The sequence below is a fragment of the Homo sapiens genome, chromosome 3, assembly GCF_000001405.40.
Source record: "Homo sapiens chromosome 3, GRCh38.p14 Primary Assembly".
NCBI classification, from domain to species: Eukaryota; Metazoa; Chordata; class Mammalia; order Primates; family Hominidae; genus Homo; species Homo sapiens.
Genome location: NC_000003.12, coordinates 68,242,642 through 68,265,461, shown reverse-complemented (window position 1 = coordinate 68,265,461; position 22,820 = coordinate 68,242,642). Strand labels below are relative to the sequence as shown.

Genomic DNA, 22,820 nt, shown 5'->3' with positions numbered 1-22,820 from the left:
AAGCTGGTCTTGGTAGGATGCTGTGTGAGTGTGCTAAATTACCTTTAATGAATGAATGAGGTGACCCTGATGATGGAGAGTCATTTTCACATGAAAGGACCTCACATATTAGGTTGATGTAGAAAGCAGCCAGGCCAGGGCCCTTTGGAGTACACAGTGAGAATGCTGTGGTTAGACTTCCTAGCAAGGAAGACAAAGAAAATGAAATCCACACCTGTTAATGGCTGAGGGAAATTAAACAGGAGATCAAGATCTAAGGGATCAGAGCCTCAGAAAAGGTTTTGGATGAAATTATTTTAAAAAGAGCTTCCAAGTTTAACAGAATCATGATGAGGTGAAAATAAAAATTGGGATTATGGAAATGATACTAAATTGAACACATATCTTGCTTTGCCAGCAAAATTGTATATGAGTTTTTAAATTTCATATATTAAAAGCCACAATTTTTGCATACATTTTCACATAAATATGAGAATTCTATATGGAGAGACATATTATTATAGCAGATCTTAATAGTTATCAATAAAATCTTAACATATCTTTTTATGTAAATTTGTTTAAAAAACTGACCATCTCTGTCTTCTCAGATGCAACACTAAATTGCTCAAATTGTGAAGGTCTTGAAATAAACAATTATCTATCACTAAAATATGTTTTAAGCAATTTAAGCAGATTTTTGTCAAAAGTTTGGTCTGTCTTTATAATTTCTTTATAGAAATTATATAGAATATAAATTTCTTTATAGAAATTATCTATATATACTTTCTATAAAGACTTTCATTGATAAAGACTTTCATTGACTGTGTTAAGCTCAAAATAGGTAATGCTAGTTTACTTCTACACTAATAGGAATTCTAAGATTTACTTTAAAATGATAACATTGAAACATTTCTCAGAATGTATTGTGTTCTTGCGGTCACTACCTACCCATCCTCTGTCATTGAAATTTTATAAGTTAACTGGTGTAGTTTTCACACAGTTGCTTCCATTTCATTGGCTGGAGTGACTATAAGAGAACCACAGCCAGGTAAGTTTTGCAGACACATAAATGGTGATGAAAAGGTAAAAGATGTTAGGGATGTATGTTGACAGTTCCCAAACTTCAATAATCTGTGTGCCCAATATTTGCCATCTCCACAAACGACCTGAACTATTGTTTATTTTTTCAATCTACTTTATTTATTTATTTTTTGAGTCAGAATCTCACTTTGTTGCCCAGGCTGGAGTGCGGTGGTGTGATCTTGGCTCACTGTAAACTTCACCTCCTGGGTTCAAGTGATTCTCAAGCCTCAGCCTCCCGAATCGCTGGGATTACAGGTGCCTACCACCATGCCCGGCTAATTTTTTGTGTTTTTAGTAGAGATGGGGCTTCACCATGTTGGCCTCAAGTGATCCGCCCACCTCGGCTTCCCAAAGTGCTGGGATTGCAGGCATGAGCCACTGTGCCCAGCCTCAAATCTACTTTATTTTGACCGAAATGAGTATATTTAAAAAAATAAAATTCTATATAGCTGTTATTTGGCAAATCATTCTCATTTGTAAATAGAAGATACACAGATATTGATATGCATTAAAGTAAATGAATAATTTCAAAATCAATGTTTGTCTAAATATGGTATTCCCCAAATCACCTTGTGTGCTTGGATACACGAAACATAGGTTTATAGTGTAATAAAAAGACCTAGACCATAGACTAAGGATGCTGGGTGCCCAGTGCTGTGCTGGCCTGAGACAGAGAATGGCAGGGGATGGTATCCTGGATTGAGAGACAAGATAGGTGACTTTGAGTCCTGACCGCCCCCCGCCCCTCCACTCACTTGCTGTAACTCTTTGAGCAAGTGGCCCAGCCTCTCTCAGCTTCATTACTTGTTCTGTAAAGCGAGGTCATAGGATGAAATCTCTATCACCCCTTCCAGAGTCAAATGCCAGTAACTTCATGACTATGAGTAAGTCCCTGGGCCTCAGTATCCCCTTACAAAATGTGTGTGTGTGTGTGTGTGTGTGTGTGTGTGTGTATGTGTGTGTGGTTAAAGTATCTGTTCTACCTAAGAGGGATTATAGTCAAATTTTGAACATGAAAAATTTGAATTTTTGTGTATGTTCCACAAAAAAATGACAAAATATAAGGATGAGACTAGTCTCTATTCAAGAGACTAAACAGCATATTGTATGTCAGGTATTAGCAAATCACAGTGAAATTCCACCGTATAATATATTGGTTTATACCATAGAAGTATACTTTTACCAATTTTCAGGGTTCAAAACCCTATGTGAGGGATATTAGAATCTCTGAATTGAGACTAAGAGTTTGAGTCCAGCCTGGGCATCATAGTAAGACACCATCTCTTAAAAATATTTCTGAATAAAATCAAACTTCCAACCCCATGAGTAATACTCTAAAAACCTGTATTATGCTGACTAACAGAAAATGCTGTGTTCTATCAGGGGTGACTGTCCTTCCAGATGGATATAACAATCCATGACTCAAATAAGCAGTGTCAATGTTTTCAATAAAACTACAGAAATTATTAAAACTTTATAAGATCTGAAGATTTAAAATGCGTACAACATTTAATGTCTAACATCATTTGAACCATGACATCTGGCCTAACCACAGTCCCAAAAGTGTTCACAGCTACTATTTGACCCAACAACCCCATTACTGGGTATATACACAAAGGAATGTAGATCACTATGCTAAAAAGACACACACACTCATAAATTCATCACCACTATATTCACAATAGCAAAGATATGGAATCAACCTAGGTGCCCATCAGTGGTGAATTGGATAAAGAAAATGTGGTACATATATACCATGGAATACTACACAGCCGTAAAAAAGAATGAAATCATGACCTTTGCAGCAACATGATGGAGCTGGAGGCCATTATTCCAAGCAAATTAACCCAGGAACAGAATACCAAATAATGCATGTTCTCACTTATAAGTGGGAGCTAAACATTGAGCATACATGGATATAAACATAGGAACAATAGATATGGTGGACTACTAAAGGGGGAAGGAAGAAGGAGGCATGGGTTGAAAAACTGCCTATTGGATACTATGCTCACTACCTGGCTGGGTTCAATATACCCATGAAATATATATATATATATATATATATATATATATATATATATATATATATATACCCTCCATATCTAAAATAAAAGCTGAAAATTTAAAAAAAAAAAATCCTAAACCCAGGACTTAGGGTTTGGGTAATCACTAGTTAGTGAATCATAATGGGAGAAAAAAGCAAGAATACAAACTGAGAGGATTATCTAGCAAATGGAAACAGTCCCTAAATTGGACGGTATTTTGGTCAAGTTGACAAAGCCCTTAGTTCACTTGGAGATTGAGCAGAGAGCGTTTCTCCAACTTGCTCAACATGGATCACAAATGATTCTACCTAAATAAATAAATCATTTTATAAAATCAGTCTTTTAGCAGGTAGGTGATATAAATTCACTTTTTCTTTTTTTTTTATTTCAAATTATCTCATACTGGGGTCACTTTCTTTTTTTTGTAATTTTATTATTATTATACTTTAAGTTTTAGGGTACATGTGCACAACCTGCAGGTTTGTTACATATGTATACGTGTGCCATGTTGGTGTGCTGCACACATTAACTCGTCATTTAGCATTAAGTATATCTCCTAATGCTATCCCTCCCCACTCCCTCCACCCCACAACAGTTCCCGGTGTGTGATGTTCCCCTTCCTGTATCCATGTGTTCTCATTGTTCAATTCCCACCTATGAGCAAGAACATGTGGTGTTTGGTTTTTTGTCCTTGTGATAGTTTGCTGAGAATGATGGTCTCCAGTTTCATCTATGCCCCTACAAAGGACATGAACTCATCATTTTTTTATGGCTGCATAGTATTCCATGGTGTATATGTGCCACATTTTCTTAATCCAGTCTATTGTTGTTGGACATTTGGGTTGGTTCCAAGACTTTGCTATTGTGAATAGTGCCGCAATAAACATACATGTGCATGTATCTTTATAGCAGCATGATTTATAATCCTTTGGGTATATACCCAGTAATGGGATGGCTGGGTCAAATGGTATTTCTAGTTCTAGATCCCTGAGGAATCGCCACACTGACTTCCACAAGGGTTGAACTAGTTTACAGTCCCACCAACAGTGTCAAAGTGTTCCTAATTCTCCACATCCTCTCCAGCACCTGTTTTTTCCTGACTTTTTAATGATTGCCATTCTAACTGGTGTGAGATGGTATCTCATTGTGGTTTTGATTTGGATTTCTCTGATGGCCAGTGATGATGAGCATTTTTTCATGTGTCTTTTGGATGCATAAATGTCTTCTTTTGAGAAGTGTCTGTTCATATCCTTCGCCCACTTTTTGATGGTTTTTTTTTTCTTGTAAATTTGTTTGAGTTCATTGTAGATTCTGGATATTAGCCCTTTGTCAGATGAGTAGGTTGCAAAAATTTTCTCCCATTCTGTAGGTTGCCTGTTCACTCTGACGTTAGTTTCTTTTGCTGTGCAGAAGCTCTTTAGTTTAATTAGATCCCATTTGTCAATTTTGGCTTTTGTTGCCATTGCTTTTGGTGTTTTAGACATGAAGTCCTTGCCCATGCCTATGTCCTGAATGGTATTGCCTAGGTTTTCTTCTAGGATTTTTATGGTTTTAGGTCTAACATGTAAGTCTTTAATCCATCTTGAATTGATTTTCGTATAAGGTGTAAGGAAGGGATCCAATTTCAGCTTTCTACATATGGCTAGCCAGTTTTCCCAGCATCATTTATTAAATAGGGAATCCTTTCCCTATTTCTTGTTTTTGTCAGGTTTGTCAAAGATCAGATGGTTGTAGATATGCGGCATTATTTCTGAGGGCTCTGTTCTGTTCCATTGGTCTATATCTCTGTTTTGGTACCAGTACCATGCTGTTTTGGTTACTGTAGCCTTGTAGTATAGTTTGATTTCCTTCTGAAACTATTCCAATCAATAGAAAAAGAGGGAATCCTCCCTAACTCATTTTATGAGGCCAGCATCATCCTGATACCAAAGCCTGGCAGAGACACAACCAAAAAAGAGAATTTTAGACCAATATCCTTGATGAACATTGATGCAAAAATCCTCAATAAAATACTGGCAAACCAAATTCAGCAGCACATCAAAAAGCTCATCCACCATGATCAAGTGGGCTTCATCCCTGGGATGCAAGCCTGGTTCAACATACACAAATCAATAAATGTAATCCAGCATATAAACAGAACCAAAGACAAAAACCACATGATTATCTCAATAGATGCAGAAAAGGCCTTTGACAAAATTCAACAACGCTTCATGCTAAAAACTCTCAATAAATTACATATTGATGGGACGTATCTCAAAATAATAAGAGCTATCTATGACAAACCCACAGCCAACATCATATTGAATGGGCAAAAACTGGAAGCATTCCCTTTGGAAACTGGCACAAGACAGGGATGCCCTCTCTCACCACTCCTATTCAACATAGTGTTGGAAGTTCTGGCCAGGGCAATTAGGCAGGAGAAGGAAATAAAGGGTATTCAATTAGGAAAAGAGGAAGTCAAATTGTCCCTGTTTGCAGATGACATGATTGTATATCTAGAAAAACCCATTGTCTCAGCCCAAAATCTCCTTAAGCTGATAAGCAACTTCAGCAAAGTCTCAGGATACAAAATCAATGTACAAAAATCACAAGCATTCTTATACACCAATAACAGACAAACAGAGAGCCAAATCATGAGTGAACTCCCATTCACAATTGCTTCAAAGAGAACAAAATACCTAGGAATCCAACTTACAAGGGATGTGAAGGACCTCTTCAAGGAGAACTACAAACCACTGCTCAATGAAATAAAAGAGGATACAAAGAAATGGAAGAACATTCCATGCTCATGGGTAGGAATAATCAATATCGTGAAAATGGCCATACTGCCCAAGGTAATTTATAGATTCAATGCCATCCCCATCAAGCTACCAATGACTTTCTTCACATAATTGGAAAAAACTACTTTAAAGTTCATCTGGAACCAAAAAAGAGCCCGCATCGCCAAGTCACTCCTAAGCCAAAAGAATAAATTCACTTTTTCTATCAATGTCTTGTGAAGGGACATCTCAGTTAAAACTAAATCCCTTTTCTTGTTCATTTTGCATCCTAATTTGTGGAGTTCCACAAGTGTTACATTGTTGAACTAAAGAGGTTAAATTGAAAAGGAAAGTAAAGCTGTGGAATACACAGTTAAATCCCTAATGGCATAATTTCGTTAGGATGTCATTAAAAATACCCTAGCACCTTTCCATTCAAAATGCAGTCCCAAAGACCCACAGTGGCACCTGGGAGCTTTTGGAAATTAAGAGTGTCAGTCCTCACCCCACACTCACTGAGTCAGCATCTGTGGTTTATCGACATCCCCAGATGATTTGAGAATCCCTGCCCACGTGTGCCTTTGGGAAGAGCTAGATGTGAGTCCTGGCATGCTGGTCAGATTCTAAGTTACTGCGTGGGCACTCTTGATCAGAATCCAGCAGAACCTGATATTTCCAAGGGTCTAGGTGAGATCTGTAGCGACTTGAAAATGGCACTTGTTGGCTGTTTCTGACAGAAGATGCAGAAGAGAATAAAACATGCCCTAGCATATTTCTGATAGAGTTCAGTTCTGTGACATCCCAAGGAAGAAAGTGAACCTGGAAAAACATATTCAACCTCTTCTGATACTCCAACAAGTACCCAGTAAGGTTGGACTAGAAGATTTCCAATATTAGGCATAAATTGGTATATTTGTTATGTGGCTCTGAGAAACCACACCATTGACAGCTGATCTTTCTTTTGCTGTGGCATAAGCATTATCTGGAGTTTCGATTTGAAATTATTCTCTGAACACTTAGATTCACCATGGTAACCACTCAGTTAAATAGAACGACTTAAAGTCACACACAGTTTCTTATTCTTCTGAGAAAAGAATTATTAAAAAATACTTTTGAGTGAATAGAAAGTTGATCATAATTTTGTAAAAAGGGAGCATAGTTAGTAATTCTCAATACGGTCAACAACATGCCATGCTCAAGTCCTGACCAATTGAAGCCAATATATTACATCAACTTGAATACATCAACCACGAGTGTATGCTGACTAAAGGTCAGCCCTGGTTTCCAAACCAATGTAGCCATTTAAAGGAAAATGTTTTGAAATATTTTAGATTTACAGAAAGTTGCGAAGATACTACAGAGAGCCCTTCCATACCTTTTACCCAACTTCTCCTAATATGAACACCTTATATAACCACAGCACATTTGTCAAAACTAAGAAATTAACATTGACACATTACTATTAACTAAACTTTATTTGGATTTTACCAGTTTTTTCACTTTAGTCCTTTTCTGTTCCAGGATCACACATTGCCTTCAGCACCCATATCTCCTTAGCCTCCTCCTAATCTATGACATCTTTCTTTCCTTCTGTTTCATGACCTTGAGAGTTTCGAAGAGATATTTTATGGAATGTCCATGAAATTGAATTTTTCTGATGTTTCCTTATAGTTAGGCTGGGGTTATGAATTTTAGAGAAGAAAATCACAGAGGTGAAATCAGGGGGCACATGATAACTTATCATTGGATATGTTAAACTTGGTCACTTGGTTAAGATAATGGCTTCCAAGTTTATCCACTGTGAGGTTACTATTTTTACCATCATTTCAGTTTCCATACTCTATTCCTTGGAAGCAAGTTACTGAGTCTAGCCCATACTCTAGGGGAAGGTTGGCCACTTTTTAGAGGATGTAACAGTCCCTTCTAAGCTCACTGCATGAAGAAGTATTATTTCCTCATTTGTGAATGACATTAATGATAATTAACTCAAAAGGTTATTGTGAGGATTAAATAAAATCATGAGTATTATGCACTTAGCCCAGTGCTTGTCACATACTAAGTGTTCGTTTGTTGATGTAATCATTGATTCAACAACTATTAATTAAGCACCAACCACATCTTGTCTGAGGCAGAGTACAGCACTTAAAAAAAAAAAAAAGATGGACACCGTCCATGGCTTTATAAAGTTAACTGTCTATTGGGGAAGACAGAGGTTAAACAAGCATATAGAAAACATGACACCACAAATTATAATAAGTTATACAAAGGAAAAGGTCAGTATGCCCTGTTGGAAATTAGATTAAGGATGGGGAGAGGCCAATTTAAATTCTGGGGTCGGGTGGCTGGGCTTTAAAGGAGTGCCATCCAAGAAAGTTATGTTTAGCTGAGATCTAAGGGATGAGCAGGAGTGAGAGATAGAAAGTGTGAATGGCAGATGTCCTGTGTAGCAGAACAGCAGGTTGCAAATACCCTGAGGCTGGAAAGAACTCCATATAGTCAAGGGCCAGAGAGAAGGCTGGCATAAGCAGAGCGTTACGAGTGAGGGAAGACATGAGATGAAGCTGGAAAGGAGGCAAGAGCTTGATGCTTTCTGTTTATCCAAAGTCCAACTAATGAGTGATGCCAAGTGTAGGAATGACATGAACCAGTAGAGAATCATAAGAAATGATATTGGCTGCCGTGTGGAAAAGAGACTGGAGGGGGCACAAAGATGTCCCAGGGATGTGACTATTGTGGCTCATACAAAGGTTTTGGGGCCAGATGGTGGCAGCAGAGAGTGAAAAGCAGATGCAATCACTTGATAAACACATAAACATGTATCAAATTTCCTCCAATCTTCTCCCAATTACCTGACTGATTTATATTATAATTAACCCTCCAGTCTTATAACCCTAGAATCAAATTTGCTATCCTCTTCTTCCAGAGTGTCCAAATAACATTTTACACAATGCCAAGGCCATGTACATTAAACTATGTACAAGACTATGTGAATTTAAGAAACCCCAAAATAATTTTACAGACGGAATTCTTTCAATGACACCTTTCTCTCTTAGGGTGGGCACCTGAGAGTAACATCCTGGATCAAGCACTGTTAAAAATGTGACTTTGTACTACAATATGTGGAGATAGGTACTATTATTATCCCCACTTTACAGATGTGGTAACCAAGGCACAAACATGTTAGGTAGCCTAATCAAGGTCTTGGTCTCCCAGCCAGTCTACCTGCTCTGACCACTGTGACACACCTCAGAGCTAAGGAAGTTCTGGTTTGAGAGAACTCCTCGTATTGAAAAAGCAGCATTTCCCCTGTGGCTAAAGGAAGACTTTTTGAGGTGAGGAAGTGTATTTACAACTGTGGAAACTCCTCAGTAAGTAGGCACTAGGACCTCCCTCCAGAGTCATCCAATATCAAGTGGGAATAAAAATTCCTTTATTCTACTCACACCTAAAAGGAATGTTATAATGCCTCAGTCTAAAGGTGCTTGGAGTAGCCATCTGATCTGATGTTAGAATCTAATATTTGGAAAGTATTTCAATGCGCTTTTCTGGCTTTGATAAATAGTATCTATTTATCAAAGATAAATACTCTAGCAGAGTTAGTATTCTGAAAGGAAACAATTATTAGTAAATAGATTGATTAACAAATTAATTCATTCACAAATTATCAGTAAATTGATTCATTAGCCTCTCTTCTGTTAATTAAAAGTGTTTGTTAACACTGAAATATCAGTGTATTACAGACTTAACTGCCTGTTAGCCAGAGAAATGGACTAGTTTTCCACTTCCTATTAGCCCATCTCCAACCATCCCCACTTTGGACACTTTAGTCAATATCTTCAGAAGACAGAAAATCCTAAGAAGCCTAGGGTCCCTTAAAAAATAAATCATTATCCTTCATAAAACAAACAGGCAAACAAATAAATTAAAAAAAACCCTATAAAACTCTCAAGAATGGGCTTTGGTTTTCTATTAGTGATCCTCTATGCTGTGGCCATTGACCCTGGCATCACCTGAACGGACATAGAGACAACATTTAGCTCCAAATCCCAGAAATAAAGTGGGATATATAGGTCCCTTCACAATAAATGTCACATCGAAGGAAAAATAGTGGTGATTACTGATTGTACACTAAGACCTTAAAAAAAGTTCTCAATTCTCAATACTTCCTTGGTACACTGAAGAGTTGGTGAATATTTTTCATTATCCAGATTTAATGATTACTGCAATCAGAACCGAACCAATAAATGTAAATGGATTATGTTTTTCTAAATTGAACACAAATAAGATTTACAAAATATAGGTTTGTAAGCCAAACCTAATAAAAGAGAAACAATAATATTTAATAAAAAGTTATTTGAGAACTAAAGAATATTCTTTATTCCTTCTCTATCCATTCACATTTCTCAGATTGAATCATTCCACTTTAATCTAATTGTTTGTGTCAGCAGATGACCTAAAGATGAATGAATACTCTTCATCTGTTTCACTAGCCCTTATTTGATGTATTGCTTCCTTTTAGGCAAAATGGCCACTCTTCAGAATGATTTTTATTTCCTGTTGTAAACCAAATATCTTTTGAGTGACAAGTAATTCATTACAAAATTCATTTTCTCCCTACTTTTCAATGAGGCCAAGTGGCTGCTACTTCCAAAGCTAGTTTTTTGGGCAGAGTGTCAAATTACCTTTTCTATTTATTGTACTGTGTAGGCTGGCACTGTGGGTTTGGCTTACTGCTGGCAGGATTAATTTAGCATTCTCTAACCAATCAAACAATCTCATTACTCTCTTCTGCCTATATAATACAATGGCCCTTAGTACAGTAAAGTCAGACATGAACATCCTAGAAGGTCACTTTCAGAGAACTGGGACTTAATTGTGGTAGGTCTACTGTTAAATCCTGGGATCATCTGTAATATTCCTATATATCTTTACCCTTCCTTTACCTTACCTTTATCTTTATTTCCACAGAGGAAATAACTTGGCATCACAGCATGTCTTTGGTTCCCATATGAATAGATTCCAGTAGTATTATTTAGAAAGTGACCTCAGTAATTATAGTCCCCTCCCCACCATGAAAGCCATATGGAAGTGTTTCATTTCAGAGATTAATGCAAATGATGTTACAAGTATCTTTCTTCCAGGTTTAAAAAAGTCTTCTGAAATTACACTAAATTTTAGGTAGGTATTAGCTGACATTAATGAAAAAGCACATCTAATTACTATACTTCCACTAACAATCGTCTTAGGTGGTTCAATTTTGATGAAATTGATTTTCATATTTTTCTCAGTAATTATTTCACTGTCTTTGTCCCATATTCTAATATTGAATTCTCATGTTCTGTGTTTTATCCATGTTGAAGACCAATGCCCAGTAGGAAGTATACTCATTTCTCAATGGATAGACAGATTAGATAGATAGATAGATAGATAGATAGACAGATAGATAGATAGATAGATAGATACATACATACATACATACATACATACATAGACAGGTAGATAGATAGACAGGCAGACAGACAGACAGACAGATAGACAGAAACACAGAGTTCCATGCATAACTTTCAGAAACCCAAAGAAACTAATGCTGTAGTCATTTTTACAGATTTGCCAATTATGTTTGCAGCTTCTGTAAAGTAGGAAAGCACTGAATCAAAACCCAGTTGCCACATGATAATGACCTTCAATCTGAAACTAATGTCACACAATAATGACCTTCATTCTGCATTAACCTGTATTAGAAGGGGCACAAAACCTGTTTCAACTCCAGAACCTTGTTATTTAAAACATACTACCTGTTTCAATATTGCACTCATTAGACAAACATCTAACCTTCTAATTTAGTATCATTGACCAAGAAAAATGTCATGATAAAATCCTCCCCATGAGAATTCAGAAAATAATCATTGTACTATCTAGCATTGCTGCCAACTACCTGCCAGAAAGTTGAAACATAACCCAATCATCACCTGCCATGCATCACCATTAGGGTTCTTCAGTCTGGCTGGAGAGAGAAAATATTAATGTAAGACAGTTAAACAGCAATGCAAAGGGTTAGATGAGTATGCAGTAAGTAGTGCACAAAATCTGAGCTGCAGAAATAGAAAGAAGTGAGAAACAATATCTATACAGAGTGGCCAGTGATGGTTTCACAAATGGGTGAGATTTGAAGTAGGCCTTACTTAAGAGATGGATAAGATTCTGTGATCATAGAAGACTGGACCATTTGGGAAAACCATCTGGGAAGCAAGATTAAAGTACGCAAGGGCAAGGAGATGGGATTGTAAAAAGCATGTTCATTTTGACAAGTATACCAACTTACCTGGTATACAGTGGGAATTATAAACAGCAACCTCAAAAGGTAACCTTTATCGAGTGCTATGTCCAGCTATTTTTTCTAAATGCTTTTATAAGTATTAGTGCATTTAACCATCACACCAGAAATATGAGGTAGTTATCATAATTACCTACTGTATTAGTCGGTTCTCACACTGCTAATAAAGACATACCCAAGAGTGGGTAATTCATAAAGAAAGAGGTTTAATGGACTCACAGTTCCACATGGCTGGGGAGGCCTCACAATCATGGTGGAAGGTGAAGGAAGAACAAAGACACATCTTGCATGACACCTGGCAAGAGAGTTTGTGCAGGGGATCTTCGCCTTTATAAAACCATCAGAGCTCATGAGACTTATTCACTATCATGAGAACAGCACGGGAAAGACTTACCCCCATGATTCAATTACCTGCAACTGGGTCCCTTCCACAACACAGAGGAATTATGGGAGCTACAATTCAAAGTGAGATTTGGGTGGGGACACTGCCAAACCATATCACCTAAATTTTACAGGGCAGCTACAGAGATTTTAAGTAGCTGGGCAATAACATAAGTTTAGTAAGTGGTAGAGCCAGAATTGGTACCCAGGCAGTTTGGCTTCAGAAAGTACTTATAGCCACTATTCTTAACTGTGTCAGTGCCTGCAATGATAAGACAGATGCCTCCAATGATAAGAGAGATGCCTGACGATGTCTGATTTTACAGAGTGGTGGAGACTGTGGAGAACTGGAGAGCTCTTGCCCCATCCAAAATGGGCAGCCACTACCCAGCTTCAGCTTTGTGGGACCATGGGCCCAGTACTGTCAGATTCAATTTTTTAAAGAGATATCAGTAATATAATTTGATGTAATTTTTTTAAGAATAGCATATAGTCAAAATATAGTCTGAAGGTGACCAGTTTGAGACATGAGAGAATGAGGAGAAATGAAATTGAACATGTAGGCTAGTATTGGATCATTGAGGGTTCAGGAATCCTGGGAAGTGAGAGCAGACAAGACTTGAGACAAAACTTGAAACCTGAATAGTAGCAGGAGCAATGGAAAAGAAGGGTTACATCTGGTGAATTTCATAAGAGATAATTAATTGGACCTGTGACTGGAGAGGGAGATTTGCTGACATTTAGGATCAAGGAAGAAGATGAGAAACAAGCCAACTGAGATTATGAGTGAAGAGATCTCAAAGAGATCTCATTGTCTTTATAAAGGCAATGACAGAGCACATATACATGGAATTATCTGTTGAGTGACTGAGAAGCTGGGCTGTGATTATAAATGACTGAGCCTTGGGAACTGCATAGACCCCAGTGTGAGTCCCGATGATGGGGCTTCCCACATATGTGACATGGATGAGTTAGTTAACATTCCTTTAGATTCAGTTTCCTCACAGGTAAATCACATCACTCCTTTCCTGGCACCTACATATGGCTGATCAAAAGAAAGAAACCCAGTGTTTTTTCCTGCCCTCCAAGGCTTTGGCACTATCTATCAGCTCATATTCCTCCAACCCCTCTCAGCACATTTCACTCACAGAGGCCATGCTGTGTTCTTCACAAGCACTGTTTCTGCCTCAGGACCTTTGCACATGATGGTTCTTCCACCTGAAACACTTTCCCCCTGAGCTCACAACATCCCTTCTTTTAGGTCTCTGCTTAAATGTCATCTCCCTGATGTCTCCTCCTCCTTCCCCTCTTCTTTCTCCTTCACTTTCTCCTTCCACATATTGTCTTTCTCCTCCACTGAAATGCAAATCTTTGTTTTCTTCATTGCTATATCCATAGCACCTAGGCTGTTGCCTGGTCTAGAGTGGGCATGCAATGAATGAATGAAATGAAAATGACAAAAGAAGGGAATATTGTAACTCCTAACAGAGAAGTGGCATGTAGATAAAATGAGAATATGTGTCTTAGTACTTAGCATATAGCCATAGCAAACTTTTTTTTAAGTAGCTAAAAAGGATAGGAAATGCCACACTGTGGGCAGGGAACTGGAGTTGAGCCCTAGAATTTGGAGTCTGAGACTATGAACAGGCTTCTGGGCAGCTCAGTCTGTATCCATTGTCACCACTCACACTCTCAAGGGTCTGTTGTCCGAGTTCTTGAGGAGACTTCTGAATGTTACCAAATGAGAAATAGAATAGCCACAATGGTGTATAATAGACTAATAATTTATTTTGGTTTTTTTTTCTTGATTAACAATAATCTACAGGCTGCCATTTATCACTGCTTGCTGGTAAGTTGGAGATTTGGGAATGGTATGGCATGAAACTAAAAGCAATGAAAAGTTGAAAGAAAGCAAATGCCATTTCTATCATATGTATTGTAGTTATTTTAAAAATTACTATTACATTACCATAAGAGAAATAGGGTTCCTTTGCTGATTTTGTAGGTAATTATATCCCTTAGGAATTGTAATTGACTTGAAAATAGATCCTTGTCCTGCAGGATCAGGCTCCAGGGAAGAAGGAAATTGCTAAAAAAAAAAAACAACAAATGACTAAAAGATCATTTAGGCTTGCCCAATTTAGCTAATTTTTTTTTTCTTGGAATCCCTGTCTAAATCCCCGCTCAAGTAATTTTTGTTCTGCCTTAGAGACTGGTCACCTAAAAAAATAAGTAATAGGTGGGAATTTTAAAGCATGCAAGGTACCTCTTAGCTGACTGAGTACATCAAGATTTTGGGGAAAGAGCTACTCTCTTGAGAATAGGGAGTATTGTGTGTTATTCCTAGGAAGCCTGGATAGCTGCTGTGGGGACGCTGTGAGGACAAAATATGCAGTGGAGGTTAGTTCAAGGGCCCAGGCTGAGCCAGGAGTAATCTGATTCCTAGTTTAGTTTCTAAACTCCTAATATTAAGCATTGGTGTGTTGCACTTTCTTGGAATACTATGAGCAAGTATGTCTTATATGATAAGCTCATTCTATAATCTTACGCTATAAGATCAGTTCTGAGACTGTCTCCAAATGAAGCCCAAATGCGTAAACAGTAATAACAGCCATGTGTACCTCTGCAGGGTATACTATTATAGTCCCCTTTGGAAAGATAAGCAAATAGAGAGCCAGTTTTGCCCAGGGTTCCACAGTTAGTACATGGAGAAGTCTGGATTAAAATCATCACCCTGGATGATGAGGCGGGGACAAAGCTATAAGTGATGAGAGCGTATAGTTACTCCCTGGAAATGCTTTTCCTCCCAGAATGAATTTATCGTATGACTTAACATTAATAAATTAGTCTCAATATACGTTTGGGAGATAGAAAAAGCTGAAGGAACAATAAATGTTTCTAGAGCCATTTTTCATTGTTTGGTGCTATTCTAGACACGTGGCCTTCGGAGGCTGTGTGATTCAAACACATGAATCACACTAAAGTTGTCTACCCAAGAGGAGACACTCCACCTCTGGCTCAGGAGGGTACTCACAAAAAAACCCAACAAATCTCCTTGTCAGGGCTTCATATTGGGTCAATGGTGTGCCTTCTCTACTTTTAGCAGCCTTAATTTAATTCTGCTCTTTTATGACTGAGTGGGTGAAATGGACCTCAGGAGGGCTTTCTGATTTTCCCTTTCAGTTTTCTTCTTCTTTCTTGGTGCGACTTGCTCTTAGTCCTGACTGTCTGCTGTCCTATGCCTTTCAAATCCAGATTTGGTAGATTGGTGGTGGAGGGTACCCAAGTTTTTTTTGCCTCCTGAGCAGCCATTCCCCTTTTACTGATAACAGAATCTCAATTTCCTCTGGGGAAACACCACTCTTCTTATGCTGTTTGATACATAGGACAAATGACACATCTCAAGCCCTGACAGTTGTGATTTTGTCAGTGACGCCTTATGACTCAAACCAGGTACTGAGACTGAGTTGTCAGAGCTGTGACTAAAACAGCTGGGGAAGACATTTTCTCCCAAGTAGAATTGCTGAGCTAGTGGAGTTGAAGCCTGGAATTCCCAAAGTGATCTTGACATGGTAGAAAGGGTCTGCCCGGTAGTGAGGGCAACATGGGAAAGGCAGAGTCAGGGACTAGGGGAGATCAAGTCCTGGGGATAACATCCACATTCCTCCATCTGATTATTCCCTGGATTATTTTAGTCACCTGAGCAAATCTGTTTCTTTTGGTGCTTATGACCATTTGAATTGGGTTTCTGAAGGCAGGTGGCCTGTGTGTGGGTGATCTGTTGTGCTGAGCCCCTATTACCTTCAGTAGGGAAGGCACCAGGTTCAAGAGGCTGAAGAAGAGACCCAGAGCCAGCAAATAAGATCTGTGGTTTTATTAGGGGCTTTCATACCGTGAAGAGAGTTCTGTGGCAGAGGGCTGGACAGGAGAACACCCTTAATTACAGAAATGGTCCCATGGCAATGGGCTGGACAACATATTCGCCTTCCTACAGTCCAGTGGCTGTGGGCTGGACAGGAAAACTACAACTGCCTGCAAACATCATGCAGTTTATACAGCATTTTTACTTAACACCCTCCCCTAATGACCTGCACCTGGCAAACTTCATCTACCCTCCCTACCCCACCCCCAGCCCCCGCCCCCCGCCCCCCGCCCACCACCCACCCCGCAAAACTCAGGACTCAGATGTTTATCATAGATAAGGAGCCCATCTCCAGGTTTGCCATTCCCAGATTCCCCAGCTCTGAACACACATTCAGGTGCATCTGCCATACAGAGTCATTCTCAGGGTATGCTTAAGTTATTGTTGTCAGGTGCATTTACCGTACATTGTCTTCCAACCAATCAGGTCAACTGTAATAACATGTTTACTTTAAGATCTGGTTTCTATCACTTTATGATCTTCTTTTCCTCCAAATGGTTTATCTCATCCTTAATCTTTTCTCAATAATTTTATTTCTAGAAACATCAAGCCTAAGGCAAATTGAAGTCTTTTCCCCACTAATGATCTACAATTATATAGCTTTATCAAGTGTTTCTACTTACTGGTTCTTGTTAAGGTTTTGTATTAACCAAACTGGGGATTTCTTGCATTATAAAATAAGCCCTGACCTTACACTTTACAAACAAATATTTATGCAATATTGCCACTGCATAAAGGTTATGAGAAATTAACACGATGAATATTTTTAGTGTTTGAATCATTTAGCTTTTTTGGTTTTAATGAGCATGTATTGAAAGTCAGTTATGTACAGAAGGCTCACAATCACCCTATTCTCAAAGTCTAAACCTTAATATGAGAATTTTCCCCCAACAGTCTGCAACTAAGTACTCTAAGTGAGGTCACACCTAATTCTGCCTTTTAGCCAACAGTGGTTCAATATTCAAATTATCTTTACTTTATGAACATAAACCATAGCCTGGAAATTTAAGTTACCTTTCCAAAATTACCCTACATTATTAACACAGACAGAATTCCTACTCATTTCTATACAAATAAAGAGAAAGGGAGATCAGACCAATTGATTCAGGCTCAGAGCCCAACTTCAGGAGAGCTCAGAGCTCAACATACTCACCAGAGCTTGATTCAATTAGCCAATTGAGAGACTTGCTCCTTCACATTCTGCAACAGAGTCATGAATCGTGTTGCTGTTTTAAAAAATATATACTTATGATATTCCTTTATCCCATACAGGACTGCATTCAGATTGCGGCCAAAAGGAACTTGCAAAAGTGAAAAGGATTTATAAAGTACAAATAAAAATGACACGGGTGGGGGAGTTGGGAGAGAGTAAAGTACGGCCACCCTTACAGCCCTGCAGCACCCGGGCCTCAGTGTGCCTGGGTGCAAAACAGCCTGTCACCTCCAGGCCCCTCAGCATACCTGCAGCATGAGGGACCTGAGGTGGCTTCAGGCAAAAAGCACTGCAAAACTGACAAGGTCCCTAATGCTGTCCACTTGAGCAGGTCTGCTGGAGTTCACCAGAGCTGGAACTAGGACAGGTGTTAGTGCTGGTGACATCTGGGGAGAAGAAAAAATAATTCTTGCATATGCTTTTTTTTTCTTTCCTAAAGCAGGAGGAGAAGAAATGAGAAAAATAGGAAAATTCCTAGCAAAAAGGAAGAGACTTTTGTCCAAAGGTTGCATGTGAAAGAGATTTAGTTAGTATCTGAGGGAACATTCAGGTGGACTTTATCACAACAAAATTTTGTTTCTAATCACACTCATCTTTTAAGATCCAGGGAAGGAGGAAGAGAGGGAGGATAGAGAGTCAGTATATAGCGTAGGTGGAGGTATTAATAATAATACATCGATGTTTACTATGTGCCAGGAATGTTGCTGATTATTATATGTAGTCATTTCTTTCTCACATCAAGCCAATGAGAAAAGAGTCATTTGATCATACGGCATTTAACTGACAGAGAAATTGAGGCACCAAGAATCTAAGCACCCTGATTCCATGTTCTAACATTTATCATCCTTCTGAATCCTCAGATTTCCCCAATCTTGAACTCCTTTTGACCTAGGAAAAATGAGGCTTTGCCCATTTTCAAAGTGTCTTAAATCCTGGCAGTACAGCCGAGATTTGAACCAGTCAGTCCGAGCAGAAACACCTGTGGAACTACTTCACTATGATGCAACAGAAGCGATATTCTTAGATGGAGATAGTGCTTTGTCATTTGGAGAGTTCTTTCACTGTATCGTCTCATTATGTATTAACAATAGACCAATGAAGTCCGTAGTTACCTTCTCAATTTTTTTTTTTTTTTTTTTTTTTTTTTTTTTTTTTTGAGACGGAGTCCCGCTCTGTCGCCCAGGCTGGAGTGCGGTGGCACCATCTCGGCTCACTGCAAGCTCCGCCTCCCGGGTTCACGCCATTCTCCTGCCTCAGCCTTCCGAGTAGCTGGGACTACAGGCGCCCGCCACCACGCCCGGCTAATTTTTTGTATTTTTAGTAGAGACGGGGTTTCACCGTGTTAGCCAGGATGGTCTCCATCTCCTGACTTTGTGATCCACCCGCCTCGGCCTCCCAAAGTGCTGGGAATACAGGCGTGAACCACCGCGCCCGGCCACCTTCTCAATTTATAGAAAAAATATTGAGACCAAAGGACTGAAAGCAGATTGAACAAGATTATTAGAGATTCTTTATTCTTGGTTCAGGTGTGTTTCCCCAGGATGGTTGGGACCCCTGGGAGGTTTGTTTGGACACAATGAAGGCAACGGATGCCAACAGTTCCAAGGTTCATTTCATTACCTTGCAAGCTCCACATGGAGATGTGGAAACAGGCATGGAAATAGCAGACAGAGGATGGTACCGGACATCGTCGTTGACTCTGAAGATAGAGCAGGGAACAAAACACACAGATCCCTGTCCTCAGGGAGCTTGCATTATTGGAGACTGTTTTGAGTCACTTTATTACCTATGCCTGTGTCTTATACCATACCCGCTTTATTACCCTGGCTGTCCTAGATGAGCCCTCTTTTATGACTCTTGTAAAAGACCAACATATTTCCTCTTGCTTCCAAAAGACCAGCTTATACATTTCGCAAAACACGAAGACAATAAAAGCTAATCCTCAAGAGCAAAACATTGATTTCCTTTGTGATCTGTACTTGCAGGATGGGCAGGTTTAGAATTAGAAGCTGCTCAAGGTCATTTAGCAAGTAATCAGTAGAGGAAGCAAGGCAATTCATCTTCTGATTTTTGCTCTATCCATGACATTTTCTATTTGCTAAAGGTGACCAAAGTATCAAATGTTTATGAAAGAAAATGGAACTACGGTAAAACTCTGCTATCAATCCCCTTCCAAGGAACATATGGTATCAGGTGACCCTCTTGTTCACTTTGTCTTAGTATCCATATCTATGCAAGCCTCCATGAAATGAAAAGTAGAACAGTAGAAATATATGTAAATTGAGGGTGTAACATGTAAATCACAAAGAAAACATTACTACAGGTTAATATCTGGGAAAATAGCTTATCAAGATTTTAAAAAAGAATTAGAGACTCAATAAATAAAGAAAGTCATCCTTAGCTACATGGCCTCTGCTAAAAATCAACACAGCTTTGGAAGAAGTTCTGTTAAATACAAACCAAGTAAAAGGGAGCAAAACTGTGCTAGATGCTCAGGCCGTAACTACTGGCACGACAAAGTGTATTGTCAAAAACTGATTCAGGATGAAGACTACCATTTTATTTTTTAAAGTGGACATAGATAATATGTCAAATGCCTGGTCAAATTTCGTAACCAGTCTCCAAACCTCCAGCTGAGTTCTTGAGATAGAAAAAACGTATTTTTAAGGGTCTTCTAAAGAGGTCATCGGTCCTGACTATACAACAAAATAAAGGCTTGATAGATGAAAAGCCTTAATTCTGAGCTTCCTTTGGTAAGAAAACATTTTATTACTAAGCATATTATAGGCTTTCAAGTTAGACAGACATGGATTCTACTTTGTGTCACACTGTCTTTATGACTTTGGGCAAATCACTTAATTTTTCCAAAACCTGGCTTCCATATTTCTAAAATGTTGATAATAACAATACCCTGCACGCATTTTTTTCTGCAAATAATAATCAGTTAATAATGCAGGGAATGTGCTTAGAAATATGCCTGGCACAGGGTGGGTGCTCAAATACTTCTAATTATTTTTATGCAGGACATGTAGTTTATTTAAGGACTATGTACCTTTAAATAAATCATGCTGGCTAGGGAGAGTGGCTCACATCTATAATACCAACGCTTTAGGAGACCAAGGTGGGTGGATTTCTTGAGGCCAGGAGTTTGAGACCAGCCTGGGCAAAATAGCAAGACTCTGTCTCTACAAAAAATAAAATAAAATAATCATTCTTTGATTCAATAGGGGAGACATAATCTTTTTAACAAATGGTGCTGGAGCAATTGGGTATCCACAAGCAAAAGAAATAAGCATAAACATAAATCTCACACCTTATAGGAAAATTAACTAAAATGGATCATGGTCATAAATCTAAAAGATAAAACACTAAAATCTCTAGAAAAAAAATAGGAGATCTTCTAAACCTAGGACTTGGCAAAGAGTCCTTAGACATCAAAACAACAACCAATTAATGGAAAAATTGATAAGTTGGACCTCATCAAAATTAGAAACTTTTGATCTGCAAAAGACCCCATGAAGGGGATGAAAAGGGAAATTAGAGTTTGGAAGAAGATATTTGCAAATCACATATGTGACAACGGACTTGCACCTAGAATAAAGATCTTTCAAAATCCAACCTAATTATAAAATAGGTAAAAGACATGGACATTTCACTGAAAAGGATATTTCTATGGCAACCAAGCATACGAAAAGATGTTCAACCTCAGTAGACATTAGGAAAATGCAAATTAAAACCACAATGAGACTTCACTACACATATATCTGAATGACCAAACTGAAAAAGAGTGATCACACCAAATGCTGGTGAGGATGCAGAAAAGCTGTATTGCTCATACATAACTGCTAGAACTGTAATATGGTATAGTCACTCTAGAAAATAGTTTGGCAGTTCCTTTAGTAATTAAAAATGGACTTACCATACCACCCAGAAATCGCACACTGTGGTATTTCTCTCAGTGAAGTTAAAATTTACTTTCCTCAGAATGTCCATGGTCTCTTTATTTATAATGGTCAATAACAGGAAACTACTCAAATGTCCTTCAATGGGTGAATGGCTAATCAAACTGTGGTCCATCCATAACTCTGAAATATTACTCAGCCATAAAAAGAAATGAACTATTGACACACACAACTTGGATGAACCTCAAGGAAATTACGCTGCATGAAAAAAGCCAATCTCAAAAGGGTATATACGATATGATTTCATTTATATAGTAGTTGAGATATAGAGTCAGAAGAGATTAGTAGTTGTGATGGGCAGGGCAGAGGGTGAGGAGGTGTAGGTATGGCTATGAAGGGGTAGCTTAAGGAAGCCCTGTGGCAATGTTACATTAAATATCGTAATTCTGGAGGATGGTTAATGAAGGTACCCATGTGAGCATAGATCTACACACACACACATGCAAATGAGTACAGGTATAACTGGTAAAAACTGTAAAAGCTCTGTAGATTTTACCAATGTCAGTTTCCTGGTATTCCTTGATATTATACTGGTATTATGCATGATGTTAATTAACACTGGAGGAGGCTGTGCAAAGAGTACATGAGACAGCCTGGTACATTTCTTTGTAATTTCCTATGAATTTATAATTATTTAAAAATAAAAAGTTAAAGAGATTATTACAGCCTAGGTGACAGAACAAGACCTTGTCTCGAAAAAAAAAATCATTAAAGAAAGATAAAGCTCACTGGTATGATTAAGATATATGATCCAGTGCCAATCACCACCCCCAAATCTAGTTTTTAGCCAAAATCCAGGGAAGACTAATAATCATACAATCATATAATCCATCAGGGATAAGTTGATCTTTTTTCTGCTCTCTGTTCAAGAGGATAAATATCAACTTAAAATGCTTCTTAGGAAATAGGAGATAAAAAAATGTAGTTTATTTCATCACACTTTTTCCAATGCACACACACACACACGTCTCACATCATTACTTAAGAGTCACCATATGCTAAGTGTTACATACAACACACACACAGATATGCTATGTAGTCTACATCAAAATGACAGTTTATATAACAATATATGCCTGCACTTAATTCTTACCAATAACACTTAAGTAGGACAAATAAATGGCATTTTCAGTTCCCAAACT

The 22,820-nt window shown here is 38.3% G+C and overlaps 1 protein-coding gene and 1 long non-coding RNA gene across 14 annotated transcripts in view; both read right to left on the bottom strand.

Moving 5' to 3' along the window:
* Window positions 1–18,844, bottom strand: part of LOC107986019 (uncharacterized) — a 72,345-nt gene extending 53,501 nt beyond the window's left edge. For 2 of the 7 annotated variants that reach the window (XR_001740445.1, XR_001740444.1), the window contains exons 1-2: window positions 17,657–18,844; window positions 14,551–14,670 (exon numbers count right to left, since the gene is read on the bottom strand). This is a non-coding gene — a long non-coding RNA (uncharacterized LOC107986019). The remainder of the gene's footprint in view (window positions 1–14,550; window positions 14,671–17,656) is intronic. The other 5 variants (XR_001740446.1, XR_001740448.1, XR_001740447.1 and 2 more) reach the window with 5 other exon arrangements.
* The window catches only part of TAFA1 (TAFA chemokine like family member 1), a 554,078-nt gene that overhangs the window by 280,160 nt on the left and 251,098 nt on the right, over window positions 1–22,820 (bottom strand). The gene's annotated exons all lie outside the window — the stretch shown is intronic.